The following is a 21,470-nucleotide window of genomic DNA, read 5'->3' on the forward strand; positions in this document are numbered from 1 at the left end:
TATGGTTTTAGGTCTAACATTTAAGTCTTTGATCCATCTTGAATTAATTTTTGTATAAGGTGTAAGGAAGGGGTCCAGTTTCAGCTTTCTACATATGGCTAGCCAATTTTCCCAGCACCATTTTTAAATAGGGAATCCTTTCCCCATTTCTTGTTTTTGTCAGGTTTGTCAAAGATCAGATGGTTGTAGATGTGTGGTATTATTTCTGAGGCCTCTGCTCTGTTCCATTGGTCTATATCTCTGTTTTGGTACCAGTACCATGCTGTTTTGGTTACTGTAGCCTTGTAGTATAGTTTGAAGTCAGTTAGCGTGATGCCTCCAGCTTTGTTCTTTTGGCTTAGGCTTGTCTTGGCAATGTGGGCTCTTTTTTGGTTCCATATGAACTTTAAAGTCGTTTTTTCCAATTCTGTGAAGAAAGTTATTGGTAGTTTGATGGGGATGGCATTGAATCTATAATTACCTTGGGCAGTATGGCCATTTTCACGATATTGATTCTTCCTATCCATGAGCATGGAATGTTCTTCCATTTGTTTGTGTCCTCTTTTATTTCATTGAGCAGTGGTTTGTAGTTCTCCTTGAAGAGGTCCTTCACATCCCTTGTAAGTTGGATTCCTAGGTATTTTATTCTCTTTGAAGCAATTGTGAATGGGATTTTTATTGAGCACCTACTATGGGTTGGGTGCTGTTCTAGGCATAGGGGATATAATCATGAAGGACAGAGTCTCTTTCTTGTGTTTTTTATGTTCTGGACAGTAAGTAAACAAATTAACAAGATCATTTTAGGTAAAGATAAGTGCTATGAGAATGAAACATGGTGCTGTCACAGAGTGTGACTAGGAAAGAAGAAGGGCTAATTTAGATTAGGTATGAGGAAGCCTCACTAAGAAGATAGGTTTGACCTAAGACCTAAAGGATGATGAAGATCTGACATGTGAAAATCTGGGGACAGAATGTTTTCAAAGCAAGGGGAAGAGCAACATCAAAGAGGTGAAGCAAACTTCAAGTGTTGTAGGCAAAGGAAGATTATGTACTCTCAGGAGTGGAGTGAGGAGAAGAGAAGTAGTTCAGGAATTCTAAGAGTAGATGGGGACCAGATAACAAAGGGATTTGAAGGCCTTGCTAAGAAATTTGATTGTGTTCTAAATAGGAACTTTTGGAGAGTTGGAGAAGTAACATGATATGAATATAGTGTAGAATGGGTATGGTGGCAGAAGTAGAAGCAGACAGACCAGTTGGGAAGCTATTGCTATAGTCTACCTGGGAGATTATGGTGGCTTTAACCAAAGTGATAATCTAGATTAGTGTTGGCTAATACAGTAGCCAGTGGCCACATGTGGCTGTGTAAATTTAAATTAATTAAAATGAAAAATTTGGTTGTCTGGTCACACTAGCCACATTTCAAGTACTTAATAGCTGCATATGTTTAGTGACCACTGTGTTGGACAGAGCAGATAAAAAACATTTCTATCGTTGTAGGAAGTTCTGTTCAACAGTCCTGGTCTAGATGGAGAGAAATGGATGGATTTGATATGTATTTTGGAGGGAGAACTAATGTATTACTGATGGGTTAGATAAGGAGGAGAAAGAAAGGAATTTTTTTTTTTTTTTTTTTTTTTTTTTTTTTGCTTAAGCAACTGGGATTTTGGGTTTTGGCTTGAGCAAGTAGGTAGTGATAGTGGTGTCATTTTCTGAGATGGAAAGAATGGAAAAGAAACATTAGAGAGATGTGAACATTAAGGATATTGTTTTGGCCATGATAAGCTAAGAATCCATTAGACATGTAAATGGAGATATCATCTATCATCTTTATCTCTCCTGCAACTAGCACAGTAGTAGGTATTCAATAATTACTTGTAGCTCCATAATGACATTTGAACAAGGTCCTGATGGCTCTAGGAGTCCAAGCAAGAACAAAAGAATGAAAGTGTGAGGAATATGGTGTATTGGGAACAAACAGTCTGGTTTGTTTGGTGCACAGAGTATGTATAGGGAAGTGGAAAAATAAAGCCAGAAAGGCAGGTTGTTGGTTGATCCATTCATTCAACAGATGACACCATTTAGGCACTAGGGATACAGCAACAGACAAAAAGGCAACAACAACAAAATCCTTGCTATTATAGAGATTATATTAGTGTGTGGTGGAGGGGTGGTGGGGAAATAGACAATAAATCCCTTATTATATGTCATATGTTAGACAGTGAAGAGGTGAGGGGATATGCCATGTAGATATCTGAAGTGGGTGAATGTTACACATAGAGGGAAGAGCAAATACAAAGGAAAGTAGAAATTCCTGCAGGTCAGAGATCAAGGGAGCAGAATGATCTAGGAAGATTAGAGTGAGAGATAAGGTCAGAGACATAAAGGGCATTATAGGCCATTGTCAGGGCTTTGGCTTTTACTCTTGTCTAAGATGGGAAGCCATTGGAAGGCTTTGATTAGTGGTATGATGTGATCTGACTTACATTTAGACTGTAGGTGAGCAAGAGTTGAAGCAGGGAAACCAATTGGGAGTCAATTGCAGTGATCTGTAAAAGATGATGTTGGCTTGAAATACAGCATAGTGTAGTAGTGTTTAGAAGTAAGCATGTTTTGTATGTACTTTCAAGATAGAGTCAACAGCATTTGCTAACAGATAAAATGTGAGTTGTGAGAGGAAAGAAGTTAAGGATGACGCCAAGGCATCTGGCCTCGGCGAAAAAACAAGGATGGAGTTGCCAGTAACTGAAGTGGAGAAGATTGTAGGAGGAACAGGTTTGAGGTGGGATGTTAGGGGGGTGGTTTCAACAATTTAATTTTGGTTTTATGAAGTTGAAATGCTTATTAGACATCCAAGTAGAGATGTAAGTAGGCTGTTGAATAAGTGAATCTGGAGTTCAGGGGAGAGGTGTAAGCTAGAGAGATAAATTTGGAAGCCATCAGCAGACAGACTGTATTTAAGATATTTAAAGCCCTAAGACTGGATGAAATCACCAAGATAAACAAGAAGTCCAAGGACTGGGCTCTAGAACACTATGATGCTAACATGTCTGAAAAATGAGGAGGAACCAGTAAAAGAGAATGAAAATGATCAGTGAGGTGGGAGGAAAATTAGGGGAATCGGGTATCTTGAAGCCAAGAGAAGAAAGTGTTTTAGGAAAGATCACCAACTGTCCCTTTTACTGGTGAATATTGAGTAAGATGATAACGGAGAATTGACTGTTGGATTTGGCAACGTGGAGGTTGCTGTTGTCTTTGAAAAGAACCAATTTATTGGAATGATGAGGGCAAAAACCTGATGTAAAGGGTTTAAGAGGGAATATGAGATAAAAAAGGGGAGATAGTAACTATAGGCAGGAGAGGAGAGACATAGGAGTGGTAACCAGAAGGAAATGAGGAGTCTAAACAAGGTTAGCTTTTTAAAATGGGAGATATTGTAGAATGTTGGTATGCCAAAAGGAGTGATTCAGTCAAGAGGAAGGAATTGATACAAAAGAAAGAGGGGCTAATTATAGAAGCCAAGTCCCTTCGTAGGTGTGGGAGATAATCCAGTGCATAACTGGAGGAGTTAGTCTTTGAAAGTATATGACCATGGAGTGGTTGGCTGTGTGTGGTGGAAGAAAAGATAATTAGAAATGAGGCATTCAAAGAACTTAAAGGCCATATGTTAAGATATTTTAAGCCTTAAGACTGGATGCGGTTACCAAAGATATGAGTACAGATAAACAAGAAGTCCAAGGACTGAGCTCTAGAGCACTATGATGTTAACATGTCTGTTTATATCACAGATTATCTATAAAGATATCACTTACACCTGAAACAGTGACAGTAGTAGCAATGGGGAAAAAGACATTAATTCAGAATGAGAAGGAGTTAGTAAAAGATTGATTGATGACTATAATGTGAAAAGGTATGAGGAGGTATTATCTGATGGCCTGCACTTCAAAGACAATGAGATTTTTGAGGGAGGAAGTTTTGGGTAAGAATTTCTTTTAGATCAGAATTCATTCATTACTAGACTATGCAAATTTGCCAGCATTTAAGATTTCATTAAATTAATGTGAATTAATGCATCTAGGCTCTGATCAACAGTGGCTTCCAATGTGTCAGAAAAAGAGACACATTATATGCCTTTGGCTAGAGGTACACTACACTACTTAGTCTTTCAAATGAAAACAAAAATTGCAAAAATGAAACAAATCTGATCAAGTATCTAGATTTAAGAGTGGGTTAGAAATTGTGCATTTTGCTGCTATAAAGGATGGAACAACAAAATTCATACTGTGGAATCCTCTTTAACAAACTAACTGGTTTCTTCCACAAAAGAATGCAAGAAAAAAACAACAGAGATAGAGGAGCAACCTATAAATTAGAAGAGACATAAGAGACAAATGAGCCAATTACAATATATTGATTGTGTTTGTATCAATAAATCTTCTGATTGGATATTTGATGACATTCATGGTTTTTTAAATTTATGCATGATAACAATATTTTGCATATTGTGCATACACACATATATTTTTAAGTTATCCTTTAGAGATATGTACAGATTTATTTACAAAGGAAGTGAAATCCAAATTCAATGTGAAATGATGACTGAAAACATATACTTTTACAAAGTTAATAACCAAGACATTAATTACCTTAGACTCTAGAATGTTATAGAAAGTTTGACTTATTCTATATGTCCATACATAAATAAGAAAAGTACTGTCAACTCAATAAGCATGGGCAAAAGACACAGCATTTTCTACGAAGAAATGTATATGGTGTTTTGCAACTGTTGGAGAATATATAAATCCACCAGTTTTCTAAAGATTTTAGCATTGCCAAACTTTCTTTGGAAAACTGTCTTTGGTATTATCTTTTCAATTGGAACATACACAATAACTATGACTCAGCAGTTGCACTCATCAGTGTATATCAAGGAGAAAATCTTGCCATGTAGAAGAATGTTCGTGTTAGTCCATTTTTACATTACTATAAAGGAATACTGAAGGCTGGGTAATTTATAAAGAAAAGAGGTTTAATTGGCCCACAGTTCTGCAGGCTGTACAGGAAACATGGTGCTGGCTTTTACTTCTAGTAAGGGTCTCAGGAAGCTTACAATCATGACAGAAGGCAACTGGCAGCCAGGGTGTCACATGGTGAGGGAGAGCAAGAGAGGAAGGAGGAAGAGCCAGTCTCCTTTAAACAACCAGCTCTCTTATGAACTGAGCAAGAATTCACTTATTACTGAGGCAATGGTGCTAAACCATTCATGAGGGATGGATCTACCCCCATGATCCAATCACCTCCCACCAGTCCCCATGTTCAACATTGGGAATCACATTTCAACATGAGATTTGGAGGGGATGAACATACAAACCATATTAATGTTCACAGCAGCAAATAATAGCAACATTATAGAAACAACCTAAATACTCTTTTTTTTTTTTTTTTTTGAGACAGAGTTTCACTCTTGTTGCCCAGGCTGGAGTGCAATGGCGTGATCTCAGCTTACCGCAACCTCCACCTCCCAGGTTCAAGCGATTCTCGTACCTCAGTCTCCCTAGTAGCTGGGATTACAGGCATGTGCCACCACGCCTGGCTAATTTTTTATTTTTAGTAGACATGGGGTTTCTCCATGTTGGTCAGGCTGGTCTCAGACTCTCGACCTCAGGTGATTCACCTGTCTCGGCCTCCCAAAGTGCTGGGATTACAGGTATGAGCCACCGCACCTGGCCAAAACTCTTTAGTGGTAGAGTAGATGAATAAATACAATAGGATATAACAATGGTCAAATCAAATAACTACAGCAAACACAACAATAGGATTGAATCTCAATAAAATAACTTCTAGAATATTACATAGAGCGTGATACCTGGTTTTTAAAGCAAAGAACAGTTTAACATATATATGAATTTGAATTATTCATATATATGAAATATACATATGTAGAGAGAGGGGATACACACACATGCATATGTACATATATAAACTGTATAAAAGAGGTGGGGAGGAAAGGATAAACAGGGTGTTCAGGATGACAGCTGCATTGGGTGAGAAGCAATGGGATGGGGAAGGCGGATCCCTATATTAATTAGTTGGAAGCTGTTGTCAAGGTCTTGGCCTTTTTGTCTGAGTGATGGGTTTGTAGGTATTACATTATTAAAAATAGTAATTAAATAAAAGGTCATTCATGGACTACTGAAGACAAGTGTCATCAACCAAGCATGATTGCTACATTTCTATGTAACTGAGTTCTAACTAAAGAAAAATCTTATGTGTATGTAGCTACATAAATAATATTCTAAAATCTCAATAGATTTTACCACCAAAAAGGTGTACTCATGAATGTTGATTTTTGGCTAACTTTGGAAAGATTTCTATTTTTTTTGATTTTCATATACTATTTTATGTGGCTATTTCCTAAAAATGCGTATAACTTGGTCAACTGGAAAATGCTTAGGATTTTTCTGGATTATTAATTTATTTTTACCAATTAGAAATGCTGTTTCTGAAAAATTTTTAAACTACATTAGTTTATTTCTCTGCTGTACTAGGAAAATAATACTGAGAAGTATGAGTGATTCATGATTGAATTTCTTGTAATGCTTCAATATACTTGTATTTTAGACAGCACAAGAGATTTGACTTACTCAGGCCAGGCTTAGAATGTAATCCTGGAATTTGCCTTTTCCACTAAATCCTTAATGTAAAACTGTCTTTTTAAGACGTCTTCCTTCTGAAATTTGTTTCCCTTTGTCCCTACCCCATTGTGGTTAGGGGTGGGGGACAAAGGGAAATTTTATTGGTTGAAGTTTTGCTGTAATTTTGCTATGATTTTTCAGTTTCAGATTACTCTGGTTTTGGCTCTAAGCACTCACGTTATTTAAAAGTGCTAATTTATACATTTACTTAAATACCTACTTTGTTATAGGCACTTTACTAAATACATATTCATTAATCAAATTATTGTAATAATAAAAACATATAATTACAAACTGAGATGCGTGGTCTGAAGCTCAGGAAAACGCATCTGTGAGTGCAAAAAGGCACCTCACCTGGACTTAGGAAGTGACTTTTAAGCTGAGATCTAAAGGATGATTAGGGCTCACTCAGGTCATAGTATAGGATTCAGGTCAGTGAAAACAGCTTATACAAAGGAGCTGTAGCAGGAGGAGGTACAGCATGACTAACACTGAAAAATGTAGTATGACTCAGTGTTGTGACTCAAAGGTGAGACCAAACAACAGAGATGGCAAGGGCCTGATTTATTCAGGACCTAAGAGCAATGGGAAACCTTTGAAGATTCTAAATTGAGAGGCTACTGGAGATCATATTTGTGTTTGAAGAGAATCTTTATTTAATGTCTGTCTTTCTGGCTAAACTGTAAGCTCCACGAGTAGAGGCACCAACTTTTGATCTCACCGAGTACAATACAAGTAGGTACTCAATAAATGTTGTGTCACCATTTAATAGCTTAGTGCCTGGCAGACAGTAAGTGCTTAGTAACGTTATGATTTTCATTGCTCTAGACTGGCCTTTAGTGTAAGACAGTGGCTGCTAAGGATTTAGAGGTTTCATGAAATAATTAATTCCAAGAATATCTGTTGAAGACCTGTGATATACTCAGAAATGGCAGCTAAATTTATTTATTAGAATGTCATCACTTCTTTTCTTTTGTGCCCCATCTAGGATGTACAGAGCACAAAAGTGATTGAAAATTGTTACTAAATCAGACCAACCTACAGTGAGGTGCTACAGCAGATGCACCTGCCCTACAGTATTCAGTTTACGTGATCACTTTGGTGCTTGTAAAGATAGCTTTTATAAAACTATTTCTTCTAGAGTTCTCAGTATAATTACCTTTCCAAAGTTCATTTGAAATAGTCTCAATTCTTCTTCAGTCATATTCGTTTATTTTATATAAATTAGAATACCTTGCCATGTTTCTTCCCAAAGACTAATGATTGCCATTCAAAATATTTCTTCTGGCCAGGCTTGGTGGCTCATGCCTGTAATCCCAGCATTTTGGGAGGCCAAGGCGGGCAGATCACTTGAGGTCAGGAGTTCGAGACCAGCCTGGCCAACATGGTGAAACCCCCCTCTCTACTAAAAATACAAAAATTAGCCGGGCATGGTGGTGCATGCCTGTAGTCCCAGCTACTCGGGAGGTTGAGGCAGGAGAATTTCTTGAACCCAGGAGGTGGGGTGCGCAGTGAGCCGAGAGCATGGCCGCTGCACTCCAGCCTGAGTGGCAGAGCAAGACTCTGTCTCAAACAAAAGAAAAAAAGTAACTAATTTTAACGTCTCCAAAACTTGGTTTGGTAAAATTGTGTATAGGGGTGTAAGTTGTAGTTTTTGGGAAAAAAATTTATTTTATCAAATAAAGCTAATTTTTTTTCTTAGTTTTTAATGTGCCCAGCTTTGGATGCCTAGAAACACAGACACACAGACACACACACACACACACACACACACACACACACACACACTCTTAATTTTTCATGATGGGAATTGTTTAACATTTACAAAAGTAACGCGGTGAAACCCCATGCATGTCTTATTCACCTTCAACAGTAGTCAATTCATTGTTTTATCTACGCCAGATTATTTTGAAGCAAATCTCAACATTATCTTTTTAATCTGTAAACTCTTCAGTATCTACTCTAGAAAATACTTTTTTAAACTCTAAATAACATAAGCATAGTATCATCACATCTTTTTTTTTTTTTTTTTGAAGCGGAGTCTCGCTCTGTTGCCCATGCTGGAGTGCAGTGGCACGATCTTGGCTCACCGCAAGCTCTGCCTCCCGGGTTCACGCCATTCTCCTGCCTCAGCCTCCCGAGTAGCTGGGACTACAGGTGCCCGCCACCATGCCCAGCTAATTTTTTGTATTTTTAGTAGAGACGGGGTTTCACCGTGTTTGGTTTAGCCAGGATGGTCTCAATCTCCTGACCTTGTGATCTGTCCGCCTCGGCCTCCCAAAGTGCTGGGATTACAGGCGTGAGCCACCACGCCCGGCCTATCACATCTTAATTAAAATAATTAACAACATTATCCACCACTAATCAGCATGTAGACTTTCCTGATTGTTTCATAAATGGTTTTTAAAGTTGGTTTATTTGAATCAGAATCAAAATAAGTCTATACAGCATAATTGGTCAATATGTCTCTTAAGTTACTTTTAACGTATAGTTTATCCTTTCCCTTTTTTTCTTGCATTTTATTTGTTGAGGAAATGGTCATTTTTCACTTCCTGGATTTTGCTGAATGTATCCCTGTAGTATCATGTTACGTGTCCAGGAAAATATATGTATGTTTTACAGAAATGAGGTCTTGCTATGTTGCCCAGGCTGGTAAAATACTGACTTTAGAAGATATATTCCACTTAATTGCCAACATGAAGCCTATGCTTTTCAAAATCGGTTCCATAAAATCATGTTGAAGATCAGTTATTTTCTTTTCTTAGCACTTTCATGTATGTTCTGTTTTAGTTTGTTTTGCTGTCAATTCCCCAAAACATTGCCCTGAGCTCAAGTGATTCTCCCACCTTGGCCTTCCAAAGTGCTGGGATTACAGGCATGAGCCATAGTGTCTGGCCCAAGTATATTTTCTGTTTATCTTTAAATATGTGATACCTCATCTCCTTTTACTGTAAACAAATTTTTGTTTATATGGAAAAATTAGTTGTTGAAGAGGGAAAGATTTCAAAAATTATGTAAACTTGAAAGGGAGGATCTAAAGGAACGGCCGTGAGCCTCAAGAAATAGAATAATTTTGTAATGGTCCGTGTTTATTGCTCTGTGATTATTTTGATAACATGTAATTTGTTGCCATCTTAAAGTATTATAAAACATTGAAATATAAAATTGTAGCAAGAGTAGATATACCAGTTTGATTTTGGTTAAAGTAACATACTTTGTTAACTTTTTTTAATTAACAAAAAAGATACCAGGTGATCAGCACTCCAACAGATTTTTTTATGGTAATGGAATATGTGTCTGGAGGTGAATTATTTGACTACATCTGTAAGCATGGACGGGTGAGTAACATACTATCTGGTACACTAAATCTCTAAACTAATAAAAAGGAAAGTATTGGGACATAGAACAATGCAAAGATATCTTCAAGGTTGAAGTTGCTTTTATGGTAGTGCTCAACTAAACATGTAGAGTGTTAGATAAATTTTCTTTCTTAAAAAGCATTCCTTTTGAAATACTGATTTTAGAAAATATGTTTCACTTAATTGCCAACATGATGCGTATGCTTTTTAAAATCTGTTCCATAAAATCATGTTGAAGATCAGTTATTTCCTTTTCTTAGCACTTTCACATATGTTCTGTTTTAGTTTGTTTTACTGTCAATTCCCCAAAACATTGTGCACATTTAATAATATTAATTGAAATTTAAATATTTCTGCTTAGCGACAAAGACAAACTTGTCTTTTGACATGTTGAGCTTTGACAAGCTTTTGGTTGGTTTATTTTGTCTGATTTGTTGAGAATTCCAACATAATTCTAGCTTGCTTAATTATATTTAGCCTAATTATGAAATTAAAACTCTTGTCAAATAGATGTCTCAGATTTTTTTTTTTTTTTTTTTTTTGAGACAGACTCTTGCTCTGTTGCCCAGGCTGGAGCGCAGTGGCATGATCTCAGCTCACTGCAACCTCTGCCTCCTGGTACAAGCAATTCTCGTGTCCCACTCTCCTGAGTAGCTGGAACTACAGGTGCATGTCACCATGCCCGGCTAATTTTTGTATTTTTAGTAGAGATGGAGTTTCACCTTATTGGTCAGGCTGGTCTCAAACTCCTGACCTCAGGTAATCCACCTGCCTTGGCTGGGATTACAGGCATGAGCCACTGTGCCCAGCCCCAGATATTCTTAATGCAGTTTCTTTTGTGCTTGATAGGTTGAAGAGATGGAAGCCAGGCGGCTCTTTCAGCAGATTCTGTCTGCTGTGGATTACTGTCATAGGCATATGGTTGTTCATCGAGACCTGAAACCAGAGAATGTCCTGTTGGATGCACACATGAATGCCAAGATAGCCGATTTCGGTATGTAACTCCAGGGTTGTTCAGAAAGGTACTAGCTACCTTTTAAAGCATAACAACTCATTGAACTAAGAACTTTACTTTTCAACCTTGTACGTTCTGTACCATGAAAAGGAATTAGCTGAAATCTCCTCAGTAGCTTTTTTTTTTCATTTAATTAAATTTTCATTAATTTTCATTAAATACACTTTAAAAATGCAGATACCTCTAGAGAAGTTAGAAGGTTGTCATCAAGATAAATCCATTCAATCTGCATTTTCTCCTAAGGAAATGATGCATAACTGTTTTTTTGTTTTTTTTTTTTTTGAAGAGAGGGGAGGAGTCCCAGACTTCTTTGAAAATCTCATGAAAGTATGGGCACTTTCCCTGATGAATGCATATAAACCAAGGTACCTGAAAATATGCATGCAGTTGGAAAAAAGCCCTTCTGAACTGATCCACAAAGAGGTCCTTAGGTGTAACGTCTAATAACTTGATTAGAGAACAGTTTTTGTCAGGGGTAAAAGGTACATAAAATGTGATTTTTATACTCCAAACACTTTCTGGGATAAACATACGTGGAAAGGATGCCTTAATAGGGTATTTGAGAAAAAGACTAGGAAGTGAGAGATTAAAGAGAAAGAGATAGAAAGGTACAGGCTATTGTTGCCTATTTGTGGTCTATACCTTGTCTTTAATCTAAAAACCTAGAAACTACTTTCTCTATTTCTCTTCCTTCTCTAAATCATGAAACTTATTTATTACTATAGCTCAGCTAGATTTTTGGTTCAATAGATTATTTTTTCCATGTTGAATTAAATATTTCTAAATTAAAAACTTTTGGAACATAATCTCTTTATGAGGTGGGGCCCATCTGGTTTCTAATTACAGAATTTAAAGAGGCTTTTGAAAGCACAGGGCAAAAAAGTAGTAGTCTCTATTTTATTCTTTCAACTATGGAAATAGGTAAATAATATTTTGATGTTTTCATGTTTGGGAAAGTTAATATGCTTCAGAATAACCTCATTTGTGATGGGAATCAACATTTTTATTTAGAAAGGAAATTTAGTTTCACTCATATATGTGATGTGCTTTAGCTTTTTGTTACAGTGTAAGCACTCTGAGACGGTCTCTTTCCAGTTAAATGCTTTCCACTGCTTTTTTTTAATAACTTAAAAAAAAATGATATATGGAGGATCCAGGACTTGAAATTTTGCTCATATTTATATGACTTTATCTACTTTTAAAAATATCTAGCACCAAGTAAACATTACTTTTATTTTTAGGATTATCTAATATGATGTCAGATGGTGAATTTCTGAGAACTAGTTGCGGATCTCCAAATTATGCAGCACCTGAAGTCATCTCAGGCAGGTAATAATCAGTGAAGCATAAGCTTTTTGTAATCTTGTGTTCATTTTGATAACATTTAATTACAATATATTCTCTATGGAAGGTAAGATTTTAACATGGTAGAAATGGATTATTCATTTATTTTTCCACTGTTAAAGGGATAATGGTTATATCAAAAAATGTTAAACATTTCATTTAGATGTCATTATAAATATACTTACGAAGTTTTCCCCATTAGAAAAATAACTGAAGTAGATCCTGATTTAACATATCTTTCATTTTACAAAAGTGCAGATAAGAGAGTAAGAATTTGCTAAATTTAAGCTAGTGTCATTTATTTATTAGATATAGTTCTTTAATAATACCTTGCATATTTTCCAAAGTATATAGAGCATTGTTTTATATTTTGTGTTTGGAAAAATGAGATTTTGGGGGAAAATATTGTTTCATGAAATTACACAAGTAGAGATTGTGTAGTTACTCATAACTTATTCATTGGTACATTATAAAAATGTTTATACAGATTGCAGTGGTAAACTCAAGTCTTTCTACAGTGATCAACGTGTGATTTTAAAAGTTAACAGAATCCTATAAGAGAAAATATGGTTAAAGTATTATTGCAAATAGCAGATAAAGAATTATCTTAGTCCATTTGGGCTGCTATAAGAAAGATACAATAAAGGTGATAGCTTATAAACAACAGAAATGTATTTCTCACAGTTCTGAAGTCTGGGAAGTCCAAGATCAAGATTTGGTATCTGGTGAGGGTCTGCTTCCTAATAGACTACTGTATGCTCACTGTAACTTCACATGGTGAAAGGGACAAGGGATCTCTCTGGGGTCGCTCTTATAAGGGCACTAATCCCATTCATGAGAACTCTGCACTAGTGACCTAATCACCCCCCTTAAGTCCCCACCTCCTAATACTATCTCCTTGGGGGTTAGGATTTCAACACATGAATTTTGAGAGGACATAAGCATTCAGTCCATTGCAAGGAGTTTGAACAATACAGCAAATGATGTAAACAATCACCATTTTTTATATAAACAGATTATATTCTTTTCATTAGAATAGTAAAGATTTACTTTGTTACCTCAGACCCAGGTTTGAGTATGGTAATATGCTATCATGGGAATTGTAATGCTGTAGAAACGTAAGAGAAAAAAGGAATAATACTATAAGCATAGGTTATCTGGATCAAAGATGATTTTAGTCATATGAGTTAGGAAGTGATGAGAATAGAAATAGTAAGTACTCAGGATAATGTGATACAGGATAAATACTGTCTACACAGTACTAATTAAGTACTTTAATGTTTTAAATATCTCTCTCTCTATATATATGATATATTATATATATATATATATATATTTTTTGTTTTGAGATAGAGTCTCGCTCTGTCACCTAGGCTAGAGTGCAGTGGCACAATCTCAGCTCACTGTACCACCTCCTGGGCTCAGATGATCCTCCCACCTCAGCCTTCTGAGTAGCTGGGACTAAGATGTGCACCACCATCCCTGGCTATTTTTTGTATTTTTAGTAGAAACAGCGTTTCACCATGTTGCCCAGGCTGGCCTCAAACTCGTAGCCTCAAGCAATCCGCCCGCCTCAGCCTCCCAAAGTACTAGGATTACAGGTGTGAGCTACCGTGACCAGCCTTAATATTCTTTAAAGGTGTGCCAGGGGTAGAAATTCTATTATATGTATACATTATATATATGTTTTCTTTCTTGTAATAGTTCTTTGGGAAAAAGATTTAACCTATACACCATAGTATTTTTTCAAGTTTGTGGTCATCTACTTTGTTTCCCTCAAAAATCAACCACAGAAAGTATTATATGTTTTAATTCGTATGTTTCAGTTAAATGAATTTGTGACAAATAAAAATACCCTATTCACTTGGCAGGCTTGAATAGTAGTTGGCTAGCCCCATTACTCTCTTTGGGGAACAAACACTGAATATTGGGGAGCAGCCATGGACTTCATTAAAGACCTTGGAAATGAATATGTACTGAATGTAGACTACCTATATATAGAAGTAGGGTACATAGAGAAAAAGTGATTCTTGCATTTCAGGTTTGTGTTGTCATCTTTTTTCTTAGATTGTATGCAGGTCCTGAAGTTGATATCTGGAGCTGTGGTGTTATCTTGTATGCTCTTCTTTGTGGCACCCTCCCATTTGATGATGAGCATGTACCTACGTTATTTAAGAAGATCCGAGGGGGTGTCTTTTATATCCCAGAATATCTCAATCGTTCTGTCGCCACTCTCCTGATGCATATGCTGCAGGTTGACCCACTGAAACGAGCAACTATCAAAGACATAAGGTGATTTTTCTTTTTGTTTCTGTTCTGCATATTTTCTCATAGGAATAATAATGTTAATTAAATGATTCTCCCAAAGTCTCATTTCCTGCCCTCACCACCTCACCCCAGTACTCATGCTTCAGCCACATTGAACTTGTCCTTGTTTCTCAAACCTAACATAGATTTTATGCCTTCATGTCTTTGTTTATATTATTCACTTTGCCTTGATGTCTTTTCTTGTTTCTTTTTTGACCTGATAGACTTCCATTCATCCATTAAAGTTCATGCCACCCCTTTTGTGATTTCCACACGTGCTTCCATTTCTGTTTTATCAACATTTTGTTCATGCTTTTATTATTTAATCCTCATCCTGTATCTAGTTATTTCTCAGTGTGTCTTTTTTCTCTCTTAAATTATGATATCAGGGTAGAGAGTGTGTCTTATTCATCTTTGACTACACAATGCTAAAAGGCCTGGAAAGATGGTATGCTTAGAAAGTGTCTGAAGAAATTTCAAATGGAGAAATAGGGTGAGATTTTGTATTTTACATATGGTTAAAGACATAAAGCATAAAAAGTTTTGCTAAGTTTTTGAATTCAATAGCTGCTAGTCAGCTTACTGTGAAGGCTTTTTTGTCACTTGAGAAAGTTTGGAAAGTGCCATTGCTGATGCGCCTATGAATATGACCTTTGTATATCCCACACCTGTGTATAGTAGCAAGATGATTCACTGCATCCTGCCTATGACTTATCAAGGCATGTTTCTTAGAGGTTTTTTCTTCTTACCTAAGATTTCATCCGTGTTTGTTTACAAACATGTTCTTTTGACATCTTTCCAGAACTCTTTCCCCTTTTCATCATTAGCCAGCAAAGAATTTTTTTTTTTTTTTAAGGCAGGGTCTCACTCTGTCGCCCAGGCTGGAGTGCAGTGGTGTGATCACAGCTCACTGTAGGTAGCCTCAACCTCCCAAGCTGAGGTGTTCCTCCCACCCCAGGCTCCTGAGTAGCTGGGACTATAGGCACAAGCCACCACACCCAGCTAATTTTTTTTAATTTTTTTATTTTTAGTAGAAATGGAGTTTTGCCATGTTGCCCAGGCTGGTCTTGAACTTCTGGGCTCAAGCAATCCACCCACCTTGCCCTCCCAAAGTGCTGGGATTACAAGTGTGAGTCGTTGCACCCAGTTCCAGAAAAGACTGTTTTGAGACCTCTGACCTTTGGAATATTTAAATGATGGCTGAGATAGCTGTTTATGTGACTGCTGCTGATTTCATACAGGCAAGGACTGATGATTCTTTTTGCATTTATGTATCATTTTCTTTTCCCAGCCTTTCTTCAGTGTTCCAAACCTCATGTATAACAATGTAAAAGTGTAAATTAGCCACCAGATTTAATTATAAAAATGAACTTAGCAGGAAAAAAACTCTTTGTGTTTATAGTTCTTTAGCATATATACTTCTGTTAATGACTTTTCCTTAGAAAATTAGACATGCTGATATATTTGCAGCTGCTCATATCAGCATATACATTTAGAATAGTAATAGGCTGGGGGCAGTGTCTCATGCCTGTAATCCCAACACTTTGCGAGGCTGAGATGGGAAGATTGCTTGAGCCCAGAAGGTCAAGACTAGCCTGGTCAACATAGTAAGCGCCCATCTATATTAAAATTTTTTTTTTATTAAAAAAAAAGTCAAATGGTAATGATTCATTGCTTTAAAACAGGTGTTTGTATATTTATATACTTCAGAAGAAAAATGTAAATATATTTACTGGGAAGAGTTAATTTGTACGTAGGTAGATGGCATGAAAGTATCATTCATCTCTATACTTTAATATGATAACTTGAATCTATAGTTTTCATCTTTTTAAATTTATGTCATATATATATTTACTTATCTATATTCAATTTTTTAATGTTTGGGAATTCTCATTTTTTTAATTCTTTTTTTTTTTTTTTTTTAAAGAGATGGGGTCTTGCTATGTTTACCAGGCTGGTCTTGAACTCCTGGCCTAAAGCAGTTTTCCCATCTTGGCCTCCCAAAGTGCTAGGATTACAGGCATAAGCCACCACGCCTGGCCAATGTTTGGGAATTCTTGATTTGATAAAATATAGTTCAATAGGGAAAAGAATTACTAATCATGGAAAAATTACAAAATACCAAGCATTCTGCTTTATGGCTTAACTTATGTTATTGCATTGACTTTTCATATATAGCTATAAACCATTTTACAAACCATGAAACTGAAGCTCAGAAAGGTTACATCATGATTTATGTATCTGTTTGCCCCTATTAAATTATAAATTACTTTAAATTAGGGACCAATTATTAATTCATAGCAAAATGCACAAGGTCTAACACATATTAAATGTTAAGTAAATCTGTGTTTGTTGAAAATTACACAACTAATAAGGAGCACAATGGGGCTCAACTTGGAACTTTACCTGAATTCAAAACCTGTGCCATTTATACTATTCCAAATTGTTACATCAGTTCTGTGATATCTATCCTTTCAATCTATCATATTTTATTTATCTCTTATGCTACTACATACTTACTGTCTCAATATTATTTTTGTACATCTATTATTTTCTTGTAAGATAGCCATTGGAAGTTCGGAAATATATCTTCATATTTATTTGCTTATTTAACCATTTTCGCTTTTATTCATTCAACAAATATTTATTTCACATCTGCTCTGTGCAAGGTCTTGTGCTAGGTGCTGGTAATATAGTGGTAAACAAGATAGATATTATCTTCATGGAAAACACATCTTTGTGTTCTCCAGGTATCTTAAGCTTAGTAATAGTATTAATGTTATCATAGTTAAAGTGAGCGGTCTGAAGTTCAACTGAGCACAAATCCCAGTGCATCTGTTTATTAGCTATGTGCAACTTAGTTACTTCCCACATATATTAGAATTTTGGGGAGCGTAGTCATAGATCAAACCTTGTGAAATTGCCATTTAAGTAGGTCTGAAAATGATTGAATATCAGAAACTGCAAATACTCAACTTAATATAATTAAAGCTTTTAGAACAATGTCTAGAACATAATATTAGCTATTATTATTTTTGAGGGAATATTTGAAAACCTTTTAGCTGCACTTAAAGAAATTTGGGCATATCATGAGGTTTCTAAAATTTGATAGTCTTTATAATCTAACCTTAAGTCATATATCAATTTCAGGTATCAGGTAGTAGTGATAGAAAAATATAATTTCTGATGCCTGTATAATAGCCCATGTGAAGTGAATTGCTTTTGTCTCAGATGAACCTTCATAAACATCCTAGTTACTGCTCACTTTGGTAGAGTTAGTTCAGAAACTGACTCCTGAAAATCAAAAGCTAGAAAGATGGCTTTTAAAATTGTCAGTTATTACAAACAATTATGGCCATTTGACTAAATTAATGAATTAGAAATCAAATTTAGATTGTTTCCTTATTGTTTTTTAAAATTAATTTTTAAAATATAATTCACATATCATAAATTTATCCCTTTAGATTGTATAATTCACTGGCTTTTAGTGTATTCACAAAGTTCCATAATCATTACGGCCATCTAATTCCAGAACTATTTTATCATCCGTGAAAGAAACTATACACACTAATAGTCACTCCCCATTTCCCCTTCCTCCTATCCCCTGGCAACCACTAATCTACTTTCTGTGTTTGTGCCTGTTGTGGACATTTCATATAAATGGAATCATACAGTATGTGGTCTTTTGTATCTGGCATCTATCATTTAGCATAATGTTTACAAAGTACTTTCCTACTGTAGCATGTATTAGTACTTCATTTTTTTTGCTTGAAAAATATTCCAGTGTATGAATATACTACATTTAGTTTATGCATTAGTTAACGAAGATTGAATTGTTTCTAATTTGTGGCTTTTATGACTACTGTTTCCATGAACATTTACATACACAGTTTGTATGGCTATGCTTTCATTTCTCTTCGGTGTATATACCTAGAGTTTATAATTGTCGTATGTTGTTGCTGCTACTTCTGTTTGTTTAGTGATTTTCCTGATCTGATTCTGTAAAATCTGTATTCTTTTTTATATATGGCTACTGAAATCTCTCTTTGGTTTGCTTAATGATCAGCTAGTGATTAGATAACAATTTCCTTAAATGCCCTGATCTAATAAGTCTCCCATCCTTTGCTAATGGGCTTTGTGTGATATTGGGGTATATCCTTAGTGCTCCAACAGGCAGTTGTAACTCTGCCTTAGCCTTCACTTCCTGCTTGTGCAGAGCCTCAAAATCTGCCAGTGGTGAGAAATTATGGCCCTTTCAATTTTTTCTCAGGCAAACACACAACTCTGCATTTGTTTCTGGCCTTTCTGAGTCCCAGAAATATATCAGAGCTTTCCAAAGACCCCTCTGGAAATTGTGTTTCCTAATTTTTCCTTTTAAGTGTTTTGGTCAGCTTTTCCTTTACCCAGCTTTCACTGCTGCTTCAGGCAGTTGCGATGTTAGACAGTTGCCATTGATTTTTGTTTTTTCTTTTTTAACAAATGCCCTGGGGAGAAGGCTGTTTGCAGGAGTAAGCTCTGAGTCAGGTCACATAAAAACCAGGCTTGTGAGTGGAGGTTTCCAGAGAACTGCTAGACATGTAAAATAATGACAGTTCTCTCATGGTAAGATTTTTGGGGAGCTCTAAACTATTCTGCTCCTCTATTCTCCCCACCTCAATGCCCCAGTGATTGTTAAGCTCCTGTTTTCTCAGCTCTGTGATTATGAGGCTGTTGGTTTTCAAGGCTGCCCAGGAGCTGGACAAAGGGAAGCGGACTTAGGGCAACTTAAAAAGCCACAAATCTCACCTTTCTTATTGAGATTCAGCCATTTTTCTTGAATAAACAGTCTTCAGATTGTTGCAAGCCTTTGGTTAATTTCCAGGGTTCTGAAAAAATTGATTTTCACAGTTTTTGGTTAATTTCCGGTGTTCTGAAAAAGTTGATTTTCACAGTTTTTGCTGGTATTTTATTGTTTTATGGAATAATAGATTTTTTGAGTTTATTTTGAAAGTGCTTAACTTTTCTATTTGTCATTGATATTTAAAAAATATTAGACATGTAACATAATTTTTTGCCTTCTTTTACTTCTTTTGTAGCTGGGTGTGGTGGTGTGCACCTGTAATCCCAGGTACTCGGGAGGCTGAGACAGGAGAATCACTTGAACCTGGGAGGCAGAGGTTGCAGTGAGCCAAGATTGCGCTACTGCACTCCAGCCTGGGTGACAGAGCGAGACTCCATCTCAAAAAAAAATATATATAGAAAAGATCTATCTCAAGTTATTTTTATTGCTGAACATTAATAGGTGCTTAATATTATTATATAGCCAATAAACACATGAATGAATTATTTTTTGTGTCCATACTTTGTCTATTTATCATATATGCAGCATTTATTGAGCATTTACTCTACTAGGTAGTAGGGTAGAGCTAAATAAGGTATGGTCACTATTTCAAGAAGTTGTCGCCGGGCGCGGTGGCTCACACCTGTAATCCCAGCACTTTGGGAGGCCGAGGCGGGTGGATCACGAGGTCAGCGACCATCCTGGCTAACACGGTGAAACCCCATCTCTACTAAAAAAATACAACAAAAAATTAGCTGGGCATGGTGGCAGGTGCTTGTAGTCCCAGCTACTCGGGAGGCTGAGGCCGGAGAATGGCGTGAACCCAGGAAGCAGAGCTTGCAGTGAGTGGAGATTGAGCTACTGCACTCCAGCCTGGGTGACTGAGCGAGACTCTGTCTCAAAAAAAAAAAGAAGTTGTCAGTTTACTGGGCAAGATTAAGAAAAAAATCAACAACTAAAAGAATGTATTGTGATAGAAAAGTCTAGTAGCTGTAGAAGTTTTATCTTTGTACATATCCTCAGGGCCTGGCACACCAGTATTTCTTACTTGGACTATTGCAACTAGCATCACCATCATCATTTTTATCTTTTCTTTTTTTTTTTTTTGAGATGGAGTTACACTCTTGTTGCCCAGGCTGGAGTGCAATGGCACGATCTCGGCTCACCGCAACCTCCGCCTCCCAGGTTCAAGTGATTCTCCTGCCTCAGCCTCCCTAGTAGCTGGGATTATAGGCATGTGCCACCACGCCCGGCTAATTTTGTATTTTTAGTAGAGACGGTGTTTCTCCATGTTGGTCAGGCCGGTCTCGAACTCCCGACCTCAGGTGATCCGCCTGCCTCGGCCTCCCAAAGTGCTGGGATTACAGGCGTGAGCCACGGCGCCCAGCATCATTTTTATCTTTTCAATTCATTTTCTATACCACAAACAAAATGATCTTTACAGAATGATAACTAGGTTATGCTACCCTGTCTCTTTAAAATCCTTCAATGATTTTCATCAACCACCAGTTCAAATCATGAGATTTCCTTTTTATGGCCTACAATTCTTAGAAATATCTGATTTCATTTGGTACTCCATCTCATAACTCATTCTTCTTTCATGATGTTGAGCTCATTCCAGTTCCTAGAGCACAGCATAACTCTTTCTTGTCTCATGGTCTTTGCACATATTGTTTCTTTTGCTGGGAATATCTGTTCTGCAACTCTTTGCATAGCTGACTTCAGATCATTCTAGTGTCAGCTTAAATATTACTCAGAGTGGCTTCCCTGATCACCTGCCTCTCATTCTAAATTATATACTCTCATTTTACTCTATGCAATTTCTCTTGCAATCTTTATCACAGGATTTGCATATTTGTATATTTGTAACTATATTTTATGTATATTTGTTTAATCTCTGTGCAGCTAAAATATAATCTTTGGGAGGAATGGTTCTTTTTGTCCATAGTATGTCC

General features: G+C 36.5%; 1 protein-coding gene across 2 annotated transcripts in view; it reads left to right on the forward strand.

Moving 5' to 3' along the window:
- Nucleotides 1-21,470, forward strand: part of PRKAA2 (protein kinase AMP-activated catalytic subunit alpha 2) — a 70,022-nt gene that overhangs the window by 36,165 nt on the left and 12,387 nt on the right. For both annotated transcript variants that reach the window (NM_006252.4, XM_017001693.2), the window contains exons 3-6: nt 9,916-10,009; nt 10,880-11,024; nt 12,287-12,374; nt 14,457-14,681. In NM_006252.4, the coding sequence (NP_006243.2) occupies nt 9,916-10,009; nt 10,880-11,024; nt 12,287-12,374; nt 14,457-14,681 (552 nt within the window). The remainder of the gene's footprint in view (nt 1-9,915; nt 10,010-10,879; nt 11,025-12,286; nt 12,375-14,456; nt 14,682-21,470) is intronic.

The sequence above is a fragment of the Homo sapiens genome, chromosome 1, assembly GCF_000001405.40.
Source record: "Homo sapiens chromosome 1, GRCh38.p14 Primary Assembly".
NCBI classification, from domain to species: Eukaryota; Metazoa; Chordata; class Mammalia; order Primates; family Hominidae; genus Homo; species Homo sapiens.